Source organism: Homo sapiens, chromosome 8, assembly GCF_000001405.40.
Source record: "Homo sapiens chromosome 8, GRCh38.p14 Primary Assembly".
NCBI classification, from domain to species: Eukaryota; Metazoa; Chordata; class Mammalia; order Primates; family Hominidae; genus Homo; species Homo sapiens.
The window spans coordinates 21,787,425-21,807,443 of NC_000008.11; the positions used below are offsets into that span (position 1 = coordinate 21,787,425).

Here is a 20,019-nt window from a genome sequence, read left to right on the forward strand (position 1 = left end):
GAGGGAAGGCCGGGAACGGCTGCTCACAACCCTCCGCTCCCGCCCACCCATCTGGCTCGGGGCTCGGTGGGGAGAAACTTGAAAAGTGTTCCGGGGAGTGGAGCCGCCGGTTAGGGGCTCAGGGCGTGGGGACGCGGGCTCCGTTTGCCAGGCGCGGCTGGCAGGTGGGGAGTGACTGCCAGCGCTCCCCGCGCGATGTCCAAGCGGGAGCCGCCGGAGAAACCCGCGCCCTCCACCACGACCGACTCGGGGAGCAGACCAGGAAAGGCGGACCCCGCAGGACTGTTCTCTCCCCGCCTAGGAGCCTCTCTCTCCCTCCCTTCTTGCAGATCAAGAGTTGGATATTTTTTTTTCTTAAGTTGCCGCAATTCGAACCCATTATTTCGGGGGAGATGCGCGCTATACTGGCGTGTGAGCGAGCGCGGGTGTGTGTGTGCGTGCACAGTGTCTGCGGGGCTGGTTCGGATGTTGAGTCTCCCTCCCGATCCCCCTGCGTCGCCAGCCAGCCGCGGCTCCGGTCCCTCGTCCGCGTCCCTGCCGCCCGGCCCCGCTCGGTTCGCCAGCACCGGGCCCGGCTAGCTCCGCGGCGCGCTCTCCCCGCCGACCTCCCGCCAGCCCCCCACCGGCGCTCCGCTCGCCCCCCGCCTCCCCGGCTTCTCGCCTCCCCCTCGAGCTCGCCGCCCGCAGGTACTCACCTAGAAAGAAGAAGAGGCAGAAGACGTTTGCCAAGATCATGTTAAATAAATCCCACCGTTTTTTTGTCTTTCTCCCTTGGGTAAAAAAAAATAATAGTAGTAACAACAACAATAATAATAGGCAAGCAGTGGTAATCAGCCCCAAATCCAATGCGGAGATCCCAGCTAGTCCACCCGATGAAGATCCCGAGTCCTGCGATTCTCGCCTCTGGCTGGAGGGGGTGGGGTGAGAGGCGGGCGATGGGCTGCTGCCTCTCGACGCCCCCCTTGCCCGCTACAATCAAATATACGCGTATCTGTGTATCGGCTTTCTAAGCCAACAGCCCAGTCCTGGGGTCAGCCCTCCCCTCCAATCGTCCGGGAAGGCGTGAGTCCCCGCGGGTCCAATTCCCCTGCGCTTCCCAGGAGGGGCCTGGGGAGGTGGGGAGAGAGGCGATTTGCGAGTGAAGGGCTGGAAGGAAGCGGCGAGGGAGGGGGTCGGAATAAAATGCAAATAGAAAAGAAATCCACAGACGGGTGTCAGCGCCCAAGAACAATCCAGTCGGAGCTTCGAGGACGAGAGACTGGAGTCGCTTCTTTCGCACCAAGACGAAGACAAGATTCAAAAAAATCTTCTCCCGCTAACCCTTGCTCGGCTCACTTTTTTCTAATGGAATTCCAGTGACCGTGTGTCTCTGCGTGCGTGTGTCTTTCTCTCTCCTCTCTCTCTCTCTCCTCTCCCTCGCTCGCTCTTTGCTCTCGCTCTCTCCAGCTCTCCCTCGCTCTCCTCTCTCCCTCCCCCTTCTCCCACTCTCCCTGCTCCTCCCTCCGCCCGCCCCCTTCTCCCTTCGCGGCTCCCTCGCCCGGGCTCTCGCGCCAGCGCCCCTCTCCTCCGCCCCGGGCTCGGCGCTCGGGCTCCCAGGCGGCTGGCGGCGCGGGGCGCGGGGCGCGGGAGCGCGGCGGAGCTACGATGCTCTGCAGCGGCGGCGGCGACAAGGCGAAGGCGGTGGCGGTGGCGGTGGCGGCGGCGGCGGCGCCGGGGATCGCGGGCCGAGAGGAGAGCCCAGCCGCCGGCTCCCTCGGCTCAATCGCCCGCCCTTCCTGGGACTGACCTGCTGCCTTGGCCGGAAACTGACTGGCTCCCCCGGCTACGGCTCGGGCTCGAACCCACTCAAGCGTCGGCACCCTCCTCCTCCTCCCCCCGCAGCTCTCCCCACCCTGGGGACCGGCTGCGCCCTCCAACCCCCACTGCCCCTGCCCCCGCCCCCTGCGCCGCTGGGTCTGGGAAGCCTGGGGAGCTGAGCTGAGGCTGGAGGGCGCGGAGTCCGTGGGGCCCGAGCCATCCGGGGGCTCGGGGGGCAGGGCGTTAGAAAAACCCCAGCCGGTGGCCCGGGTCTGAGGGGGGCTCCACCCTCCGTGGGCTAAGGCGTCCCTGCGCCCAGGAGCCGAGGCCGACAAAGCGTCTCCCCGATGGTGCCAGGGAAAGGAATTATCCCCTTCGGCGCCGGCCCCGCGCGCCCCCGAACCCAACGCATCCTGCCGGCCCCGGCCTAGCCCCGCGCGCACATACACGTGTGCTCTCCGCGCGGACCTCGGGAACTTTGCCCTCACGCCCGCGGCGCGCTTGCCTCCCGCCCGCCCCGGCCTCCACCCCTTCGAGATGCCCCTTCCCCAGCCGGTCTCCCCTCCCCCCGGCTCGGGAAGAAGCCTGCTGGGCCAGGGCGCCCTGACCACCTCCTCGGAGGCCGGCAAACCTGCCTGAACCGCCCCAGAGGAATCGGGCAGGGGCTCGCACCCCACCCCGGCAGGAGGGCCCCGAGACCGACCCGGGCCGGGGCTCCGCAGCCGGCTGGGCTCCGAGGAGCTCGTCCCGAGGCAGCTCCCGGCTCCCTAGGCTCCGGGGTTGGGGGGTTCCTCCTCCCCTAGCCGGGAAGGGGGCGATTGATCCATCTGTCGGTGGGCCGGGCTCACCGGCGTGTTTTAGTCGCAGAATTTACAATAAACGCCCAGAAGGACCTAAAAGGAAGCGTCTGGCTGGGAAAGGGCTGGAGGAGAGGTGCGGCTGCGGTCACGTTCCGGCGAGAGCGGGAGAGGCGCGGGGTCGCGGTCGCGCGAGGGCTCACACCCACGCAGCCCGGCATCCCCCGGCCCTCGCGCCACGTTCCTCGCACTCAGCTCGGCGCGCACACACGGTGTCCTGGGGTGGGGTACACGCAGCGCCTCAGAAACTTTTCGTGCTGCCCAAAACAATCTGGGCTGCACGTAACATGAATTTGATAGTACCGTTTAAGATGCATTCTTAAATAACAAGACTCTGGAATCCAGTAAATGCTAGAAATCGACTTGGACGAGAAGGGAGGGGTCACTAACAAAACCAGCAGCCTTAGCTATTGGGAAAGCTAGAGGGAGCAACTTCCATCTTGAGGATTTAGGCGGGAAGGCGGCTGCTCCCGGCCTTGGAAGCACAGAGAGCGAGTCTCCTGTGAACGCCTCTTTCCTGTGGTCCGTCCTGGGGCATCGACCTTCCTCCCTCCATCTTCTCCCCCAGCCATCCAGTTGTGCCTGCTTCGAGCCTAGGCCCTAGCTGGGTAGTGACGAGTCTGGGACAGAGGGCTTAGGGATTGGAGTTGGGGAAAGCCCCCTTCAGGCCTGCCCTCCCTGTCATTCCTCCAAGCCTCTCATGTTCTAGGAAGTGACTTCGCATCTGACAAGGTCTCTTGGCTTTTTTTCCAAAAATTGGGGAGCATAAGGAACCGGCTTTGGATAAGTGTAGGTTAAAAGATAAAACTTGACAGGAATTACACTGCCAGGCAGGCTTGGCCTGGAGGCCCGAGGCTGGGAGCCTGGCCTAAATGAATGTCCCCCCTCTCATCTCCTCGACTTCCAGGGTCTTCTGGTTGTCCAAATACTCCCCACCACCACCCATTTCGGAATCTCACGCAGGCCTTCCCCCTTCCAAGGACCCTGCTCCAAACTCCAGAATTTCTGCTCAGCATATCCCTCTCCCCTTCCCCACAAAAAAGAATTTCACTTTCTTTTAACTTCATTTGAGCATAATGAGAGAAATTCTCTGAATCATATATGTAGTTCTCCCCTCCCACCTATCCAGAAAATGGGGCTGAGAAAGCAGCAATGAAGCCCTGGGGATGGTTCTCACTGAGCTCCCACGGGAGTAGGAAAGAGGATTCCGGTAGCAGGAGGTAAGTGGCCCTTCTGCGACCCAAGACCACCCAGCCATCCCAAGAACAGTAGAGAACACCAATCAGTCACCACCAGCATTCAGCTTGTGTGACTGCAGGGCACTCTGACCTTGGACCCTCTCTTACCTACTGCCTATACAGACGTATCCCATGACACCCCACCCTCTGCCCACCCCAACACTCAACCCAAACTGCTCTTAAAAATGGCATCATCCCTTATTTCCTGAGCATCTGCCATGAGGAAGACCCCCTGCCTTGTGCCGGGATCTACAGAGGAAACACAGTTGAACATGTACTATAACACCTTATAGATAAGAGGACTTCTGAACCTCAGTCATCTCATCTATAAAATGGGGATTAAAAAAGATAAACCAACGTTGTAGAAATTACATAAGATACTACACAAAGCGGCTAGTACAATGCCTGGCCCATATAAAGTTGTTTACTGCTTTGCTCTGGGTTCTAGAAGAAGAATTAGGGACCTATGACAAGGCAATAAAACCTAAGGGGCAAATGAGAAGCAGAAACAAAAAGCTACAGGGGTTCAAGGGCAACAGAGACTATTAAGCAGCTGTCGTAAGAGGTAGTCATAGGAAAATGTGAAGTCTCTAGCAGGTAGGAGGCAAGCCCTAGGCTCACCAACAGACTTCCACACATTCCGTAGTGCCTGAGTCCTTTTACAGCCTTCCTGGCTCATTCCAGTGCTCCTGAGTTCACCAGCAGCTGAGCCTCCTGCCCACAGCCCCTCCCCATCACAGATCCTAGAGTCCAAATCTGCATGGGGAGGGAAAGGCAACACCGAATCCTTCCATTCCTTCCCTTTCTCTTATCTCTCTAGTCCTCTCTGCTTATGGAGTGGGTTCTCTGGATAGCAGGAGAGGGAAGAAGGACCAGTGGAGGGGAGGGCGTTGCAGCCCCACCCCAACACACGCACACATGCGCACCTAGGCCTGGGCCACACTGCTCACTGACCACAATCTTATTCCTTTGTGAAGGGAAGAAGGCTGAGGGTTCCCTGACCCCAGAGATAAAAATCGACCAGGAGTGAAAAGAAGGTGCCTCACATCCAGCTAATACTGTCAGGAGCCACAGAACTGGCAAGGTGGAAGTGTCCTCTGCCATGGGACAGAGCCTGATCCAGGGCACCCCACAATCAATCCATCAGCACAGACTTATTGAACGACTTCTCTGGCCCCAGCAGGGCCAACGGCTGTGGGGAATACAGCAAGACTGCCCCTCCCCTGAAAGCATTTATAGAGTCAAGCGTGTAGCTATGAGAAGATACTGAAAAAAACAAAGGCACAGTGGGAGAAAGGAAGAGTTGGTACCACTGGATTTCAGGAGTGCAATCAGAGAGGACTTGCTAGGGGTAGGATTCAAGCTGGAGCTGGAAGGATGGGTAGAATTTGGCTGAGCACAGAGGAGGACACTCCAGGTGAGCAAACAGCAGAGGCAAGAGCACAGTGATTAGAAAGTTCTCAGGAGGCTGGGTGTGGTGGCTCATGCCTATAATCCCAGCACTCTGGGAGGCAGAGGCGGGCAGATCACCTGAGGTCGGGAGTTCCAGACCAGCCTGACCAACATGGTGAAACCCCGTTTCTGCAAAAAATACAAAAAACATATCCAGGTGCGGTGGCGCACACCTGTAGTCCCAGCTACTCGAGTGCCTGAGGCAGGAGAACCACGTGAACCTGGGAGGGAGAGGTTGCGGTGAGTCGAGATGGCACCACTGCACTCCAGCCTGCGCAACAGAGCGAGACCCTGCCTCAAAAAAAAAAGAGAAAGTTCTCAGGAAAGGAACAATCCAGTGGGTGGGAGGAGCCAAGTGCACAGGTTGGGGAAGAACTAGAGGGTCCAATTGGGGTGCTCAAGTGGAGAAGAACCAAGCCTTGCAGTCTTCAGATTCATGCACCAGGAGCCGCTGAAGGTTTTTGAGCAGGCAACTGACATGATGAGAATAATGTTTTAGGAAGATTGATCTGATGACTGTGTGAGGGATGGAGACCAGGGGCCAATTAGGAGGTGATTGTAACAGTCCCAGGCAGAGGTAATGAGGGTCCAACAGGGAGTGGCAGTGGGCGTGGACAGAGGGAGAGGGTTGTCAGAGGCAGTGTAAGGATGAATTGGCATGATGCTGGAACACAGGGAGAGTCGCCAGGCCAAGACAAAGTGACCAGCCTAGCGGCTCAGCCTTTGTCCTTGGAAAAATAATAATTAAAGTAGCCAAATTTATGGCTAGATACAAGTTAATACTCCTTCAAATTCCTATAATAACTCGATGGCTATTATTAGGTACTATTAATAGCCTCATTTTCAAGTGAGAGAGGAGAGGCAAGAGAAGTGATTCAACTGCCCAAGGTCATATTTTAAGTGGCAGAATCTGGATTCAAACTCGGGCAGTCAGGATCCAGCACCCCCAACTGGTCAATTCTGTGCCTTGTATCGGACAAGAAAAGTGGCGGCTCTCCAGGCCCACACATGTTCATATTCCCCTTCACAACACCTAAGATATCCTCTTCCTCCCTTCCCTATCCACAAATAGTGTGAAAAAAATCATGAGAATCAAAGTTTTTTTTTTTTTTTTTGAGACAGTCTCGCTCTGTCACCCAGGTTGGAGTTCAGTGGTGCAATCATAGCTCACTGTGGCCTTGACTTCCTGGGCTCAAGTCATCCTCGCCCCTCAGCCTCCCTAGTTGCTGAGACTACAGGCCTGCACCTGGCTTATTTATTTACTTAGCAGAGATGAGGTCTCCATATGTTACCCAGGCTGGTCTTGAACTCCTAGCCTCAAGTGATCCTCCTGCCTCAGCCTGGCAAAGTGCTGGGATTACAGGCCTGAGCCACTGTGCCCAGCCTGAAATTACTTTTAAAATCTGTACTGTGGACCTTGTTTTATTTTTTATTCTAAAAAAATTAAGCTTATCCTGAGAGTGACTTTTTTTTTTTTTTTTTTTTTTTTTTTGAAACGGAGTCTCACTCTGTCGCCCAGGCTGGAGTGCTAGAGTGCAGTGGCGTGATCTTGGCTTACCACAATCTCCGCCTCCCATGTTCAAGTGATTGGCCTACCTCAGCCTCCCAAGTAGCTGAGATTACAGGCACCCACCACCACACCCAGCTAATTTTTGTATTTTTAGTAGAGACAAGGTTTCACCATGTTGGCCAGGCTGGTCTCGAACTCTTGACCTCAGGTGATCCACCCGCCTTGGCCTCCCAAAGTGCTGGGATTACAGGCGTGAGCCACCACACCCAGCTGACCACTTTATTTTTTATTTAAAAACTAAATAAAATATTTACTGTGGACCTTGTCTGGCATAAGCTTTGGAGTTCAAGTCTAGAGCCTAGAAAGGATTCTGTCAGGTGCCCAGCTTGGTGCCCAGCTAAGTGCCCTGGGCCTGGGTCATGCATGAGCTTTTCCAGCCCCTACCTCCCTCCTACTGGCAAGTTGACCCCTCGCCAACATCCCCTCCACACTCCAGATTCCAGAGTCCCAGCCTGGAAGGAGCACACTAGTCTGGCAATGGAGACCAGCAGGAATTTAAATAAACCATCTGATCCCAAAGAATGAACAGGGCTGCTGGGGCAGGCTGGGTGGGACTGGGCTAGGAGGGAAGAAATGCATACTGCACTCAGGGCCATTGATTTCTCTAATTGATTTCAGTCAATGTTCTCAGTGCTTCATCATTCTCTTTAGAGGTAGGCACCGGCAGGAGGTGGAGCTCTGGTTTTACCCAGCTTCTCCCCAGGGCCTCGCAGACCTCTCTGCAGCCCCACCCATCTCAGGGAGTCCTGTAAGCCCCAGGGTAGCCCATTAGAGAGGGAGGAACCTGCAGCTGCTGCAGCTCCCATGGGGGTTGGACAGAGTGGGTAGACAGTGGAAGCAGATGGGAAGTTGCTCTGACAGGAAGCCATCAAGACCACCTTATGTGACTATTGTACTTCCCGGCTGTACAAAGCATCTTCCACATCCATGATCTTGAAGTCCTTACAACATCCCTGGGAGGGGGGCGTGAGAGAATTAATTTCCCTTCTCAGACAACAAACTGAAACACATTGTCTTTTTTTTTTCTTTTTTCTTTTTTCTTTTTCTTTTTATTTATTTATTTTTTTTATTTGAGACAGAGTCTCAGTCTGTCACCTAGGCCGGAGTGCTGTGGCACAATCTCAGTTCACTGCAAGCTCCACCTCCCAGGTTCAAGCGATTCTCATGCCTCAGCATCCCGAGTAGGTGGAATTACAGGCGTGTGCTGCCTTGCCTGGCTAATTTTTGTATTTTTAGTAGAGACAGGGTTTCACCATGTTGGCTAGGCTGGTCTCGAACTCTCAGCCTCAGGTGATCCACCCACCTCGGCCTCCCAAAGTGCTGGGAGTACAGGCATGAGCCATCGCACCTGGCCTCAGGGAACAAACTCACTCTTGAAGACCACTCATGACATGACCAAGGTTACAACATAGCCAGCAAGTGGCAGAGCTAAGGACTCATCCAGTGGGCTTTCCAATTCCAACTTGGCCTCTCTCACAGGCCAGAAATCAGGCATCCACCTACTACAGGCCTGGGCTTCTCTGCTGCTTTGTCCCACAATAGGGGCTCATGGAGGGCAAGGAAAAAGCACTCAAGTCATCTGGCATCGTCTTTGTGTCATCCAAGACAGACCTGGGAAGGGCTGTTTCTCTGAATTCCTGTTTCACCAGAAATCCCAGACTTCTCGAGAAAACTGTGAAACCTCATTCCTCGCCTTCCCCCTTCACAGCTGCCCGATAGCAGCAGGAGCTAAGCTAGTAAACCACCCTTCTGTTGAGCTATCCTAAGCCTAAAATATCCTAGCTGGGTGTCTGGTCTGCCCCTGCTGCCCCAGAGACACTGCACTCCCTCTGTAGTTGGCACTATACTGGCTACACCCCAGCCTTGTCCTGAAGTTGGTGCTGTGTTTGCAGATGAAAGCTGCCTGGAGAAACCTCACAGCTTCTCTTCTGGGCACACACGCCCACCTCATCTCTCAAGACACTGGCCATCTGCCAGGTACCCGAGGTCAAGGCAGAATCAAGGAAGAGGGACAATGACTCCTCCTGCCAAGCCTTGGGGAGCCGGCTCCTGCTGCCTGACGCCCCCCGCAGAGAGCTCTCAGTCCCAACAGCTCCACAGGCAGTATCTATTTAGCCAAGGGCTAGGTCTGAGCTGGACTGTCACTCAAAAGGCACAGGTCCGACTGCAGGACCCAGAGGGCACCTCCCAAGGGGCTGTGGCCAGAAAACAGAAACTAGTGTTTCTCTCTGAGGACACATGCCTTCCCTGGGCCCAACCCAGAGTTTGGCCAGATGAGCACATTTACCTGTATGCCTACCCTCTCACCTTGACCTTTCATTCTGGAAACTTCTTTTCCCATCATCTAGAACTTTCTCTCCTTCCCCCCACTGTCCCCATGCACTCCTGCTTTCCTGGTATCCTATCTCTCTTTCCAGAATAGGAAACCCTGGGTGGCAGAGCAATGTTTAACCTCAAAGAATGAATTGCTAATGGTAGAATTTTAGTCATCACCTGCTGTAGGTTGGAAGGAGCCCTCCATGACAACAATAATGAACTACCAGCAAGTGCACGGCCTTCAACAGCCTTCGGTGCTTTTTTCTGCAAGTTTGCCTCCCTTGGGCCTCCCAAGAGCTTTCTGAAATCAGTATCTCTCACATGGGAAGATGTATAGTCCAGGCATCAAGTGATCTGTCCCACTACGTGACAGCGATCACACAGTCAGGAAGCTGCTGATCTAGGACTGGGCCAAGGTGTCCTAACTAACCCCAAATTCCCTATTTGTGAGTTAGCTTTTGCTTAAATGCTTTAGTAAAATAAAATAAAATACTTTTTAATTTTAAGAACAAAGACAATTTCTTAAAAATATCTCCAGTGACAGGATCTTGTTTGACTCAGGGGCTGCATTCTACATCACAGATAACGCGGACAATTGAGTGGCCTTTCTTTCTTTTTTTTTCCTTTCTTTGCTTTTTTTTTTTTTTTTTTTTTTTGACATGGTCTCACTTTGTCACCCAGGCTGGATTGCAGCGGTGCCATCATAGCTCACTGCAGCTTCAGCCTCCCCAGGCTCAGGTGATCCTCCCACCTCAGCCTCCCGTCTCTACAAAAGATACAAAAATTAGTTGAGCGTGGAGGTGCACACCTGGCCTGTGTTGACATTCGTGCCATTGAGCTGTTGGACTTTCTCAGCTCCCTGGTCCTGCTCATCAGCTCCCTCTCACTCACAGTGGTCACCTATGTTTACATCATCTCCACCATTCTGAAGATACCCTCAGGCCAAGGTCAACGTAAAGCCTTTGCCACCCGTGCCTCTCACTTTACGGTGGTCTCCATGGGCTATGGGATCTCCATCTTTGTCTACTACAGGCGTGCACCTCCATGCCCAGCTAATTTTTGTATCTTTTGTAGAGACGGGGTTTCACCATGTTGCCCAGGCTGGTGAGTGGTTTTTCCTTATGCCAATATGGAATTTGCCTTTCCATAACTCCCATGTCCACAAGGATCCAGTATATGGGGAGGATCCTGGAAGTCCCTCAGACTGCAGTGGCCTTTGGGCAGAAAGCAGCATGTCTGCCCCTGAAGTGCTGGCTGTTGTGGATGCTGTTTGCTTTCAACAACAGCAGGCTGCTCCTTGCCACAACGAGCAGCTACAGTTCCCCCTCCTACTCCCCAGCAAAAGTCACCATAGTCACCATCACGTCCAGTCCACACAGTGGGCTCCAGGATGGGACATTCCCAGGGGTACAGGCACCTGCTGCCTCCCCACTACAAAAGGCAGTCTGCACTCCCCCAAGCAATGAAGCCCAGGATTCTGCAGTCTTCCCTTGCCCTGGGATGGGCCCAGCCTTTCATATTCTTCCTACCTGACTCCTGGGAGAACATCCCACCCAGCATTATGGAAAGAGGCTTGGACAAGGGTTTGAGTTCTAGCTTTGACCCCAGACATGCTGCCAGCCCAGAAAAGAGTTCAGCACAGTCTGGGGTAGCGCAATGCCCATGGTCAGCCCTCAGGAAGGATTTCCTAGTGGAAAGAAAGAAAAAGGAAGCAAGAGAGGGAGGGAAAGAGGGAGGGAGGGATGTGTGTACTGTTGAATCTCAGTGCTCTCCTCATCTCTGCTCCAACCTAACTCCCGAAATTCATCTTCCATCCAGTTCACCTCATGGAATGAGCCAGCAAGGTACACTTGGATTCAGCCACCCGCTCTGCCACCAGCTGACCATGTGACTTTAGTTCCTCTAGGATAACAGTCCTCTACCCTGCCCTTGTCACAAGGGACAAGGATGATCAAATGAGACACTGAATATGACTATGCTTTGAAATGTAAGCAATGCCCTGCAGACGTAAGAACCTGTTGACTTTTCCAGGCAGCCCACATCCCATGGTGAGTTCTGGGGACCACCCTTCGCTATCTGTTTCAGGATGAGTACCCCCTGCCCACTGCACTACTTGGGACAGCTTTTGCTACTCCAGTGACTCGGTGCTCCTTTGTAAAAAGGAACTTTCCCTTTTCACAGGTGAGAATACTGAGGCCTCCAGGTCCTGCTGTGTATGCTTCTCTTAGCTCTTCTTGCACTCTGTTGAAGTCTCCCATTCTTATCTGTACTCTTCACTCAACTCAAAGCTCTGTTCGAACATGACCTACATCCTCTTCATCACCATAGCCTTAGGGGCTGGCCCATGATAACTGCCCAATGAGTGTAGAATGAATGAATGGGCAAATGATGCCTCTAACCCAATATAACCTTAGCACAGGGTCTGAGGCCCAGGATCACTAGCCTAGTTCAAACCACTTATCTACTTGTTTGGGAGTCACTAGGGTCTAACTGACCCACACAATAAATGCTTCTCTTTCCTCCCCTTCCGTTCTCTTTAGTGAAAATTGATATATCTGACCAGAGGATTTTTTTTTTTTTTGAGACGGAGTCTTGCTCTGTCACCCAGGCTGGAGTGCAGTGGCGCGATCGCGGCTCACTGTAAGCTCCGCCTCCTGGGTTCACGCCATTCTCCTGTCTCAGCCTCCTGAGTAGCTGGGACTACAGGTGCCCGCCACCACACCCAGCTAAATTTTTTGTATTTTTAGTAGAGACGGGGTTTCACATGTTAGCCAGGTGGTCTCGATCTCCGTTGGCCTACCAAAGTGCTGGGATTACAGGCATGAGCCACTGCACCCAGCCCTGACCAGAGGATTTTTTAAACATTTAAGTTCTTTTTAATTCAAGCTAGATTGACTTATGCTCTTGACTTTAAAGTCTAATTCTATAAAGACTCAGTCCATTCATGGGAGCCAGACTCATTAGAATTCCCAGTCCACACAATAAACTGCCTTATTCTTACCTGTTAGCAGTGTGATCCCCTGCCCACCACCCTCCAGCCTAGTGAACCAAGTCACTTGTTAGTCTGAAGAAACAAAGGGGTTGCAGTCCTCAAGCTAATCCCCCTGAAGTGGGAGATGAAGGCATGGCCCATAACGAGCTGGCAACAGTCCTGGAAACACAGGGCTCCCCCAACAAGAAGCCTGTGTCCTCTGCAGACAAACCAAGCAAGGCTCTCGGGGTGGGAGATCAAGAGCTGGTGGCTTCTAAATAAAGGAAAAGGTAGAGCTGGCCTTGTGCCCTCCCACAGGTAGTCAGAGCCTCTGTACCTCTGGCCCCCTGGTGTTCCCATTGCATGGTGCACTTTGGCTAGGGGACATCTCCAGCTTCTAACCTCACCTTCCACCAAATGAGTCTGCTCTCCCATTTCCTTTCAGCCAGCTGCCACCTTGGAAGACAGTCTTGTAAACGGATCCTAAGGGAAGTGATCATCTATTTATTTTAAGAGTTACTGGTGTAGTAAACTCTTTTTCCAGAACCAGCAAAACTGATAATGGCCCATTTTTGCAATCAATCTCAATCAATCACTGAATTCTTCAATACCTTCTTGTTACTCCTCTCTGAGGCATATGCATTTTAAAGAAATGTTAACAGAGAGACAAGGCCCTAATGTAAAATAATAGATGTCTAACTTTAGAACTCCCGCACCACGAAAAAGGAATTTGAATGAGATCCGAGAAGGTGAATCTGCAGCATTCACACGCCACTCCCTCTCCTAATCATGGCAGATATTGTAAGGCTTCTGGATGCAATGCGTTAGGCATCACAACCAGTCGCTTGGAGTGGCACACAAGTTTATCTAACCCATCTGCAAGTCCTAGTTCCATGAATTCTGAGTCCCCTCCAGTTGTAGGATCTGGGCTTCTGTGAGGTAACTGAGAAGCCCTCTATCCTTCACACCACAGATGACTTGTGTTATGCCCAGCCATACCATAAGAGTTCAACAGGGGGCCAGCCATGGTGGCTCACGCCTGTAATCCCAGTATTTTGGGAGGCCAAGGCAGGAGGATGGCTTGAGCCCAGGAGTTGGAGGCCAGCCCAGGCAACACGGTGAGACCCCATCTCTATACAAATAAAAAATAATTAGCCAGGCGTGGTGTTGTACACCAGTAGTCTCAGCTACTTGGGAGGCTGAAGCAAGAGGATGGCTTGAGCCCAAAAATTCCAGGCTGCAGTGAGCTATGAGTGCACCCCTGCACTCCAGCCTGGGTCACAGAGTGAGACCTGGTGTCAAAAAAAAAAAAAAAAAAGAAGTCCAGTGAGGGCATCCACAAGATTTTTCAGAAGACAGATACCATCCCACTTCCCTAAGGAGAACAGGGAAGGAGATTTGTGGAGGAGACCTATTGTGCCAAGAAAAACAATCAGCCCCTGCTGGAATCTGACAACTCATTAAAACAAATCCCTGCTGCAGAAGGGCCTCCACATCCCATCAGCCCTGAGGAAGGAGAACATCCCAAGGTGCTGCCCACAGTCCTCGCCAAACTGTCCACACCTGATGCTCCATCCATCACACCCCTTGGATCAGACCCAGGAATATGAATGGGACTCGTGGTCTCATTTCTCAATGAGAGTCACCCCTCAGGCCTCCCAACACAGTGGCTGCAGGACTGGGAGGCAGGAGGACAGGGCTAATGTTGTGCTTGCTAATGAGCCTTCTGGGAGCATTGAAATGGGCTGCACAGGAGCAACCAATAGCCAGCCACACACAATGTCATCTGCTCAGCAGTCAACACAGCCCTGCTGCTGTTAGCAAAGGGCCTGAGACAGGCACCGTTATGGGCCCAGAAAATTCATGCAGGCAGAAGAGGGGCAGGAAGAGAACCCAGCAGGTTCCTCACCCCACCCACCCCACCCACCCCCTTCATAGGCCTGGCCCTTTTGAGATCAAGTGAGAGCCTTCTTTCCTGCTTCCCCTTGGTTCAATGGAACAAGGCATTAGACACCTATTGTGCTCCAGGCAGAGTGGGTAAAGGAAGTGGGTTTTTAGAGACTTATCCTGCCAAGAAAAACCATCAGCCCCTGCTGGAATCTGACAACTCACTAAAACAAATCCCTGCTACAGAAGGGCCTCCACATCTCATCAGCCCTGAGGAAGGCGGCATCCCTTCACAAGGTGCTGCCCGCAGCCCTCGCCAAACTGTCCACGCCCAGTGCTCCATCCAGCACGCCCCTTGGATAGGACCCAGAAGCATGAATGGGACTCGGGTGCTGGAGAATGAGAAAGGCATCCTTTCTGTCCTGCAGATGAGGGTGTGGCAGGCAAGGCCTCCTCCCCCAGGGAACTTCCATCCCGTCCGCTCCTCAGCACGCTGCCTTGCTCTAGTTTGGTCCTTCCATTTCTGACACCACCATGTGGGACTCCTGACTGGCAGTTTGCAGATTGGAAATGCAAAAGGAACCAGAATGTCTCACCCTTCTCACTCCTCACCCTGTACAAAGTGCCCTCGCACATTACTCAGGAGACGGGGCTCACCCCTGATTCTGCCACTTTCTAGCTGCCTGGCTTTGGGAAAGTCCCTAAATCTGGCTGTGCCTTGGTTAAAACAGGGACAATGACACCTGCCCTGCCTATTTCACATGACTGGTGACTCACTCCACCAGCCTTAAAGCACCTACTATGTTCCAGGCACTGACATAGACACATTGCCTCTGTCTTCTTCTTCTTCCTCTTCTTTTGAGAAAGGGTCTCATTCTGTTGTCCAGGCTGGAGTGCAGTGGCTAAATCATGGGTCACTATAGCCTTGACCTCCCAGGCTCAAGTGATCCTCCCACCTCAGCTTCCCAAGTAGCTGGGACTACAGATGTGCACCACCATGTCCGGCTAATTTTTTAATTTTTTATAGAGATGAGGTCTCTCTGTGTTGCCCAGGATGGTCTAGAACTCCTGGGCTCAAGCGATCCTCCCACTTTGGCTTCCCAAAGTGCTGGGATTACAGGTGTGAGCCCCCACGCCTGGCCTTCTGTCTTCAATAAGACAGGATCAAAAAGCATACAGCCTAGTAGGGGGAGGCAGATGTACAAATGAAAAAGTGCAATAATGTTTGGAAGCTATGGTGGTAGAATTATGGTATAGTGGGGAGAAGGATTGACTGAATAATGCATATACATAGAAATGGAGGTTTTAGAGAAATCATTTCATAAGGAAATAACACTTGCTAAGCTCTTCCCAGGAGGTACTTCCATATACATAGTTGTTCTAGATATCCAAAAAGATGATGGGTGTGAACCTACTCTATAATAGGCTGTGGGGATTTGTACAGTACAAAGCATTCATGTAAAATATCAGACTTCGGTCAACAAAAATAGGTTGTATTAGCTAAGCTAGGTTAAGCTAAGTTTATTGCTGCAGCAACAAACTACTGCAAAGTCTCAGAGGGTTAACACCGCAAAGGTTTATTTATTCCTCATGCAACATGTTCAATGTACTTTGGCAGGGGCCTCTGCTCCACACGGTCACTCAGGGATCCAGGCTGACTCGTGCATTATCATCCTGCAGCTGCTACACCTAGAACACAAGTCCTCTTCAGTCATTGAGGCAAGAGGAGAGACAACTGAAGGGCAGAGAGCTGGCCAGAATACATGTCACTTTCACCCACATCCCATTGGCCAGAACCAATTACATGCTCCTGTCTAGCAACAGTGGGACTAGAAGATATGAGGAAACATGGAATGTCTGGTGAGCATCAAGAGCTCTGCCACAGAGAACAAAGAACTGTCTGCATTTCACAGAACTGGGGTGTTTGGCTAATCAGAGAGTCCTTTAGGGAACTCTGAGTCTGGTCCCCTCAGAGCCAAGCAATTCCTGGGCTACAGGACTGGAAATGTATTCTTCCTAACTACAAAGTGACTGGCAATGGCAGAGAACTGAGGAACAACAAGACTCAAGTTATTTCTATGACTCAGATGAGCACAGAGTTAACACAGTAATGATCATAGCTAACTTTTTCTTTTGAAGAGACAGGATCTCACTCTGTCACCCAGGCTGGAGTGCAGTGGCACAATCATAGCTCACTGTAATCTCCAACTCCTATGTGCAAATGATCCTCCCACTTCAGCCTCCCAAGTAGCTGGGACTACAGGCACAAACCACCACACCTGCTTAATTTATTTTACTTTTTTAGAGATAGGGTCTTGCCATGTTGCCCTGGCTAGTCTGAAACTCCCAGCGACCCAAAGCACTGGGATTACAGGAGTGAGCCACTGTGCATGGCCCATAGCTAACATTAAGTGAACACTTACTGTGTGCAAAGTCCACATCACCTGTATTATATTATTTAAGCCTCACAATAACCCAGGAAGATAAATAATACTAATAGCCCCATTTGATATATGAAGATAATAAAGAACAAGTCAAAGGTTCTTCATATTCTTCAACTCATAACATATCAGAGCAGGAAATTGAATGCAGAAGTCAGTCCCCTGTCTCCAAAAATCATTCGCTTTACCACAAACCTATACTGCTGCCTATAGTGGAATGGAGTCACTAATTTTACATACATACATGCACACACACACACACACACACACACACACATGCATACACACAATTTACAGTTCCAAGATCTGGATTCTCAGCCTGGTTCTGACACTAGTTACATAACCTTAGGTAAGTCCCTTCACCTCTCTGAACTTCAATTTCCTCATCGGCAAAACGGGAATAATAGAAATATCTATTATCTATTTAATTATCTTATAGAAAAGAGTTTTGTCAACTATAAACTTCTCTGCTAAAAAAAAAAACAAAAAAAAAACAAACTGGTGCATTAGATATGCCCTAGGGATGATGCAAAGTTCTGAAGGGAGGTCACAACTCCTGGGTGGGGAACAAAATAGGACAGATGCCTTACTCTGAGGAGTCTTCCTCACACCCCTGAAGCAGCCCCTAACAACAACCAGAGGTGGGCCCACCCTGCCTCTTCTTCTGTCCCCACGCTCTGTTTGGCAGCTTGAGCACAGCCTCAGATTTGTCTGCTTTTCCTGCAGAGGTTTTTGCAGGATTTCTGCTAAGTGGGGCAGCGACATCAATAAGTTCCATTGTGTCATGAGTGTTATTGAAGAGCAGAGTGTCTGGCCTGCTGGCTGGGGCTTCTGGGCTCATAAGCTCTCCCGACCCTCTTTCACCCCGGCCTCATTGGTGAATGGCCCCTACTGCCCTTTCTCCCCTGCTCCAGCCTCCAATTCCATTCTGCAACAGGACCACTATTTCAGCATGCCTGGTCCACACATCCATCCCCAACAGTGTCCACCGAACATTCTCCCCAAACCCAGAGCCTTCACTCAAGGCATGCCTCCCATCTAGAATATCCTCCCACCACCTCGCCTGTCAAAGTCCTCCTTAGACACACAATGCAATGTCAACAGCAGTTGTCTCCGGGTGATGAAATTACAGATTAGCTTTATCTTTTTCTTTCCAATTTCCTCTATTTGGAGATCTGGGGGAATGAGCACATAATATTTTTCTCATAAAAAGAAATCACAATGAAGTCATGTTTTAAGTTCCTACCTTCCTGTGAGCCCCTCCCCTCCATCCTAGTCTACAATTCTGTTTCTTCTGTGAAATTCTACAGCTCTTGGCCCTATCATAAATTGCTTTATACTCTAGTTGGTTTGCTGGGCATGAACATCTGGTAGCCCCAACCAAATGGAAAGCTCCATGAGAGCAGGGGACATATTACACATATTTTCCCTATGCTACACAGCCCTCTGCACAGTTCAGGAAGAGCTGAAGCAGCGACTGAGTACTTACCAATTACAGGGGTTATGGGATGGCCCCAGTATATGTTACAGTGGCTTGGGGAGGTAGAGTCATGCAGAATAAGAACTAAGGGGCCTTGGAGTTTATACAATCTGATGCTCTGCATTCACACAGTTTCTGACATTTCATTTACCCTCATTAATAGGGTCTGGTTACCCCCACTACATGAGCAGTCAAACTAGGGCTGGGAGTCGTAAAGCAATTTGGCCCAAGCTTCCAGAGCCCACATCTCCTGTGGTCCTGTCCAGTGCCTTAACCACTAAACTGCAGCTGCCACTCCAAGACCTTATTAATAGCCATTTCTCTCCCCAGTCAGTGGCTGGACATGACTTGCCAGGTTAATAATTTGTTCATTAGGCGCCTAATGAATTACTTGTTAATTGCTAACTTGATGAACAGCCAGCAGTTCCCATCTGCCTGGAGAAACAACAGCAAATAACCACAGAAGGGCCGGCCAAGCCCCAGTGGCTGCAGGGCAGAAGGTTTGAGCCCCAGAGGGTGGCAGTTCCCTCAGGGAGAAGCCTGTCTTGGCCAGTCACCTGAAGCTGAGTCCCAAGGGATGGGCGCCTCTGGTAAACGACCTCTTGCTGGTCCTATAACTGCCCTGCAAAGGGTCGAGGCAGCCCAGCTCTTCATCTACCCTAATTATTCAAGCCTCCTCTCCACAAAACTTCCCCTTTTTGCTTTCTTTTCTTTTCATTTTCTCTGAATTTCCACCACTTGAAGTCAGAACTACGGAGGGTCTCAAACTTCTGATGGTTCAACTTTCGATTTTTCAACTTTACAATGGTGCAAAAGAGATACATTTTCAGTAGAAACTACTTCCAATATGCATGCAACCATTCTGTTGTTCACTTCCAGAAGAGTACTCAATAAATTACATTAAATATTCAACACTTTGTTATAAAATAGGCTTTATGTTAGATAACTTTGCCCAATTGTAGGCTAATATAAGTGTTCTCGGCACATTTAAGGTAGGCTAGACTAAGCTATGATTTTTGGTAGGTTAGGTATATTAAGTGCATTTTTTTGAGATAGTGTCTTGCTCTTGTCACCCAGACTGGAGTGCAGAGGCACGATCATAGCTCACCGCAGCCCAGGACCCCGGACTCAAGCGATCCTCCTACCTCAGCCTCCTGAGTAGCTGGGACTACAGGCCTAAGCCAACATACCTAGCTAAATTTCCTTTAACTTTTGTAGAGATGGGGTCTTGCCGTGTTGCCTAGACTGCTCTTGAACTCCTCCGTTCAAGTGATGCTCCCACCTCTGCCTCCCAAAGCACTGGGATTACAGGTACAAGCCACCATTCCTGGCCTAAATGTATTTTTGATTTATTATATTTTCAATTTACAACAGATTTATTGGGAAATAACTCCACTGTAAATAGAGGGGCACCTGTTCTCAAAGTAAACTTTTTGTATCCACACATAATGATATGTCATCATATTTTCTCAGGGTGTTGGTTCTATCTTCCTATCTCAAAGGCAGCTACAATGTCGCTATTGGTCACTTCAAGCTTCCTAAAAACAGAAACCATATCTTTCTCATTCATCCTTGTATCTCTTGTACCTAACGTAATGCCATAGTACCTTATAAGTATTTATTAAAGGAGCAAATTACTCATACTTTTCTGTACAAATCTGTATTGGTTTGCTCAGGCTGCTGCTATGGTTTGAATGTCCTCTCCAAAACTCATATTGAAATGTAATTGTCATTATAGTAGTATTCAGCACTGAGATCATTGACAGCCCACATGAATGGATTAATGTCATTATTGAGACAGTGGGCTCATTACTGCAACAGTGGGTTTGTTACATAAGTAAGTTCGGCCACCTCTTGCTGTCTTGCTCACTCTCACCCTCTCTTGCCTTCCACTTTCCTCCATGGGATGACACAGCATGAAAGCCCTCACCAGACGCCAGCACCATGCTCTTGTATTGCAGCCTCCAGAACCATAAGACAAATAAACTTCTATTCTTTGTAAATTACCCG

General features: G+C 51.0%; 1 protein-coding gene and 1 pseudogene across 6 annotated transcripts in view; one reads left to right on the top strand and one right to left on the bottom strand.

Moving 5' to 3' along the window:
• GFRA2 (GDNF family receptor alpha 2) overlaps window positions 1-20,019 on the bottom strand; it is a 121,948-nt gene that overhangs the window by 97,027 nt on the left and 4,902 nt on the right. For 3 of the 6 annotated variants that reach the window (NM_001165039.2, NM_001165038.2, NM_001495.5), the window contains exon 1: window positions 696-1,451. In NM_001165039.2, the coding sequence (NP_001158511.1) occupies window positions 696-735 (40 nt within the window). In that variant the 5' untranslated portion in view covers window positions 736-1,451. Of the gene's footprint in view, window positions 1-695; window positions 1,452-1,786; window positions 1,866-20,019 lie in introns of those variants that run through there. The other 3 variants (XM_006716327.4, XM_011544484.3, XM_047421687.1) reach the window with 3 other exon arrangements.
• OR6R2P (olfactory receptor family 6 subfamily R member 2 pseudogene) lies at window positions 9,662-10,472 on the top strand (annotated as a pseudogene).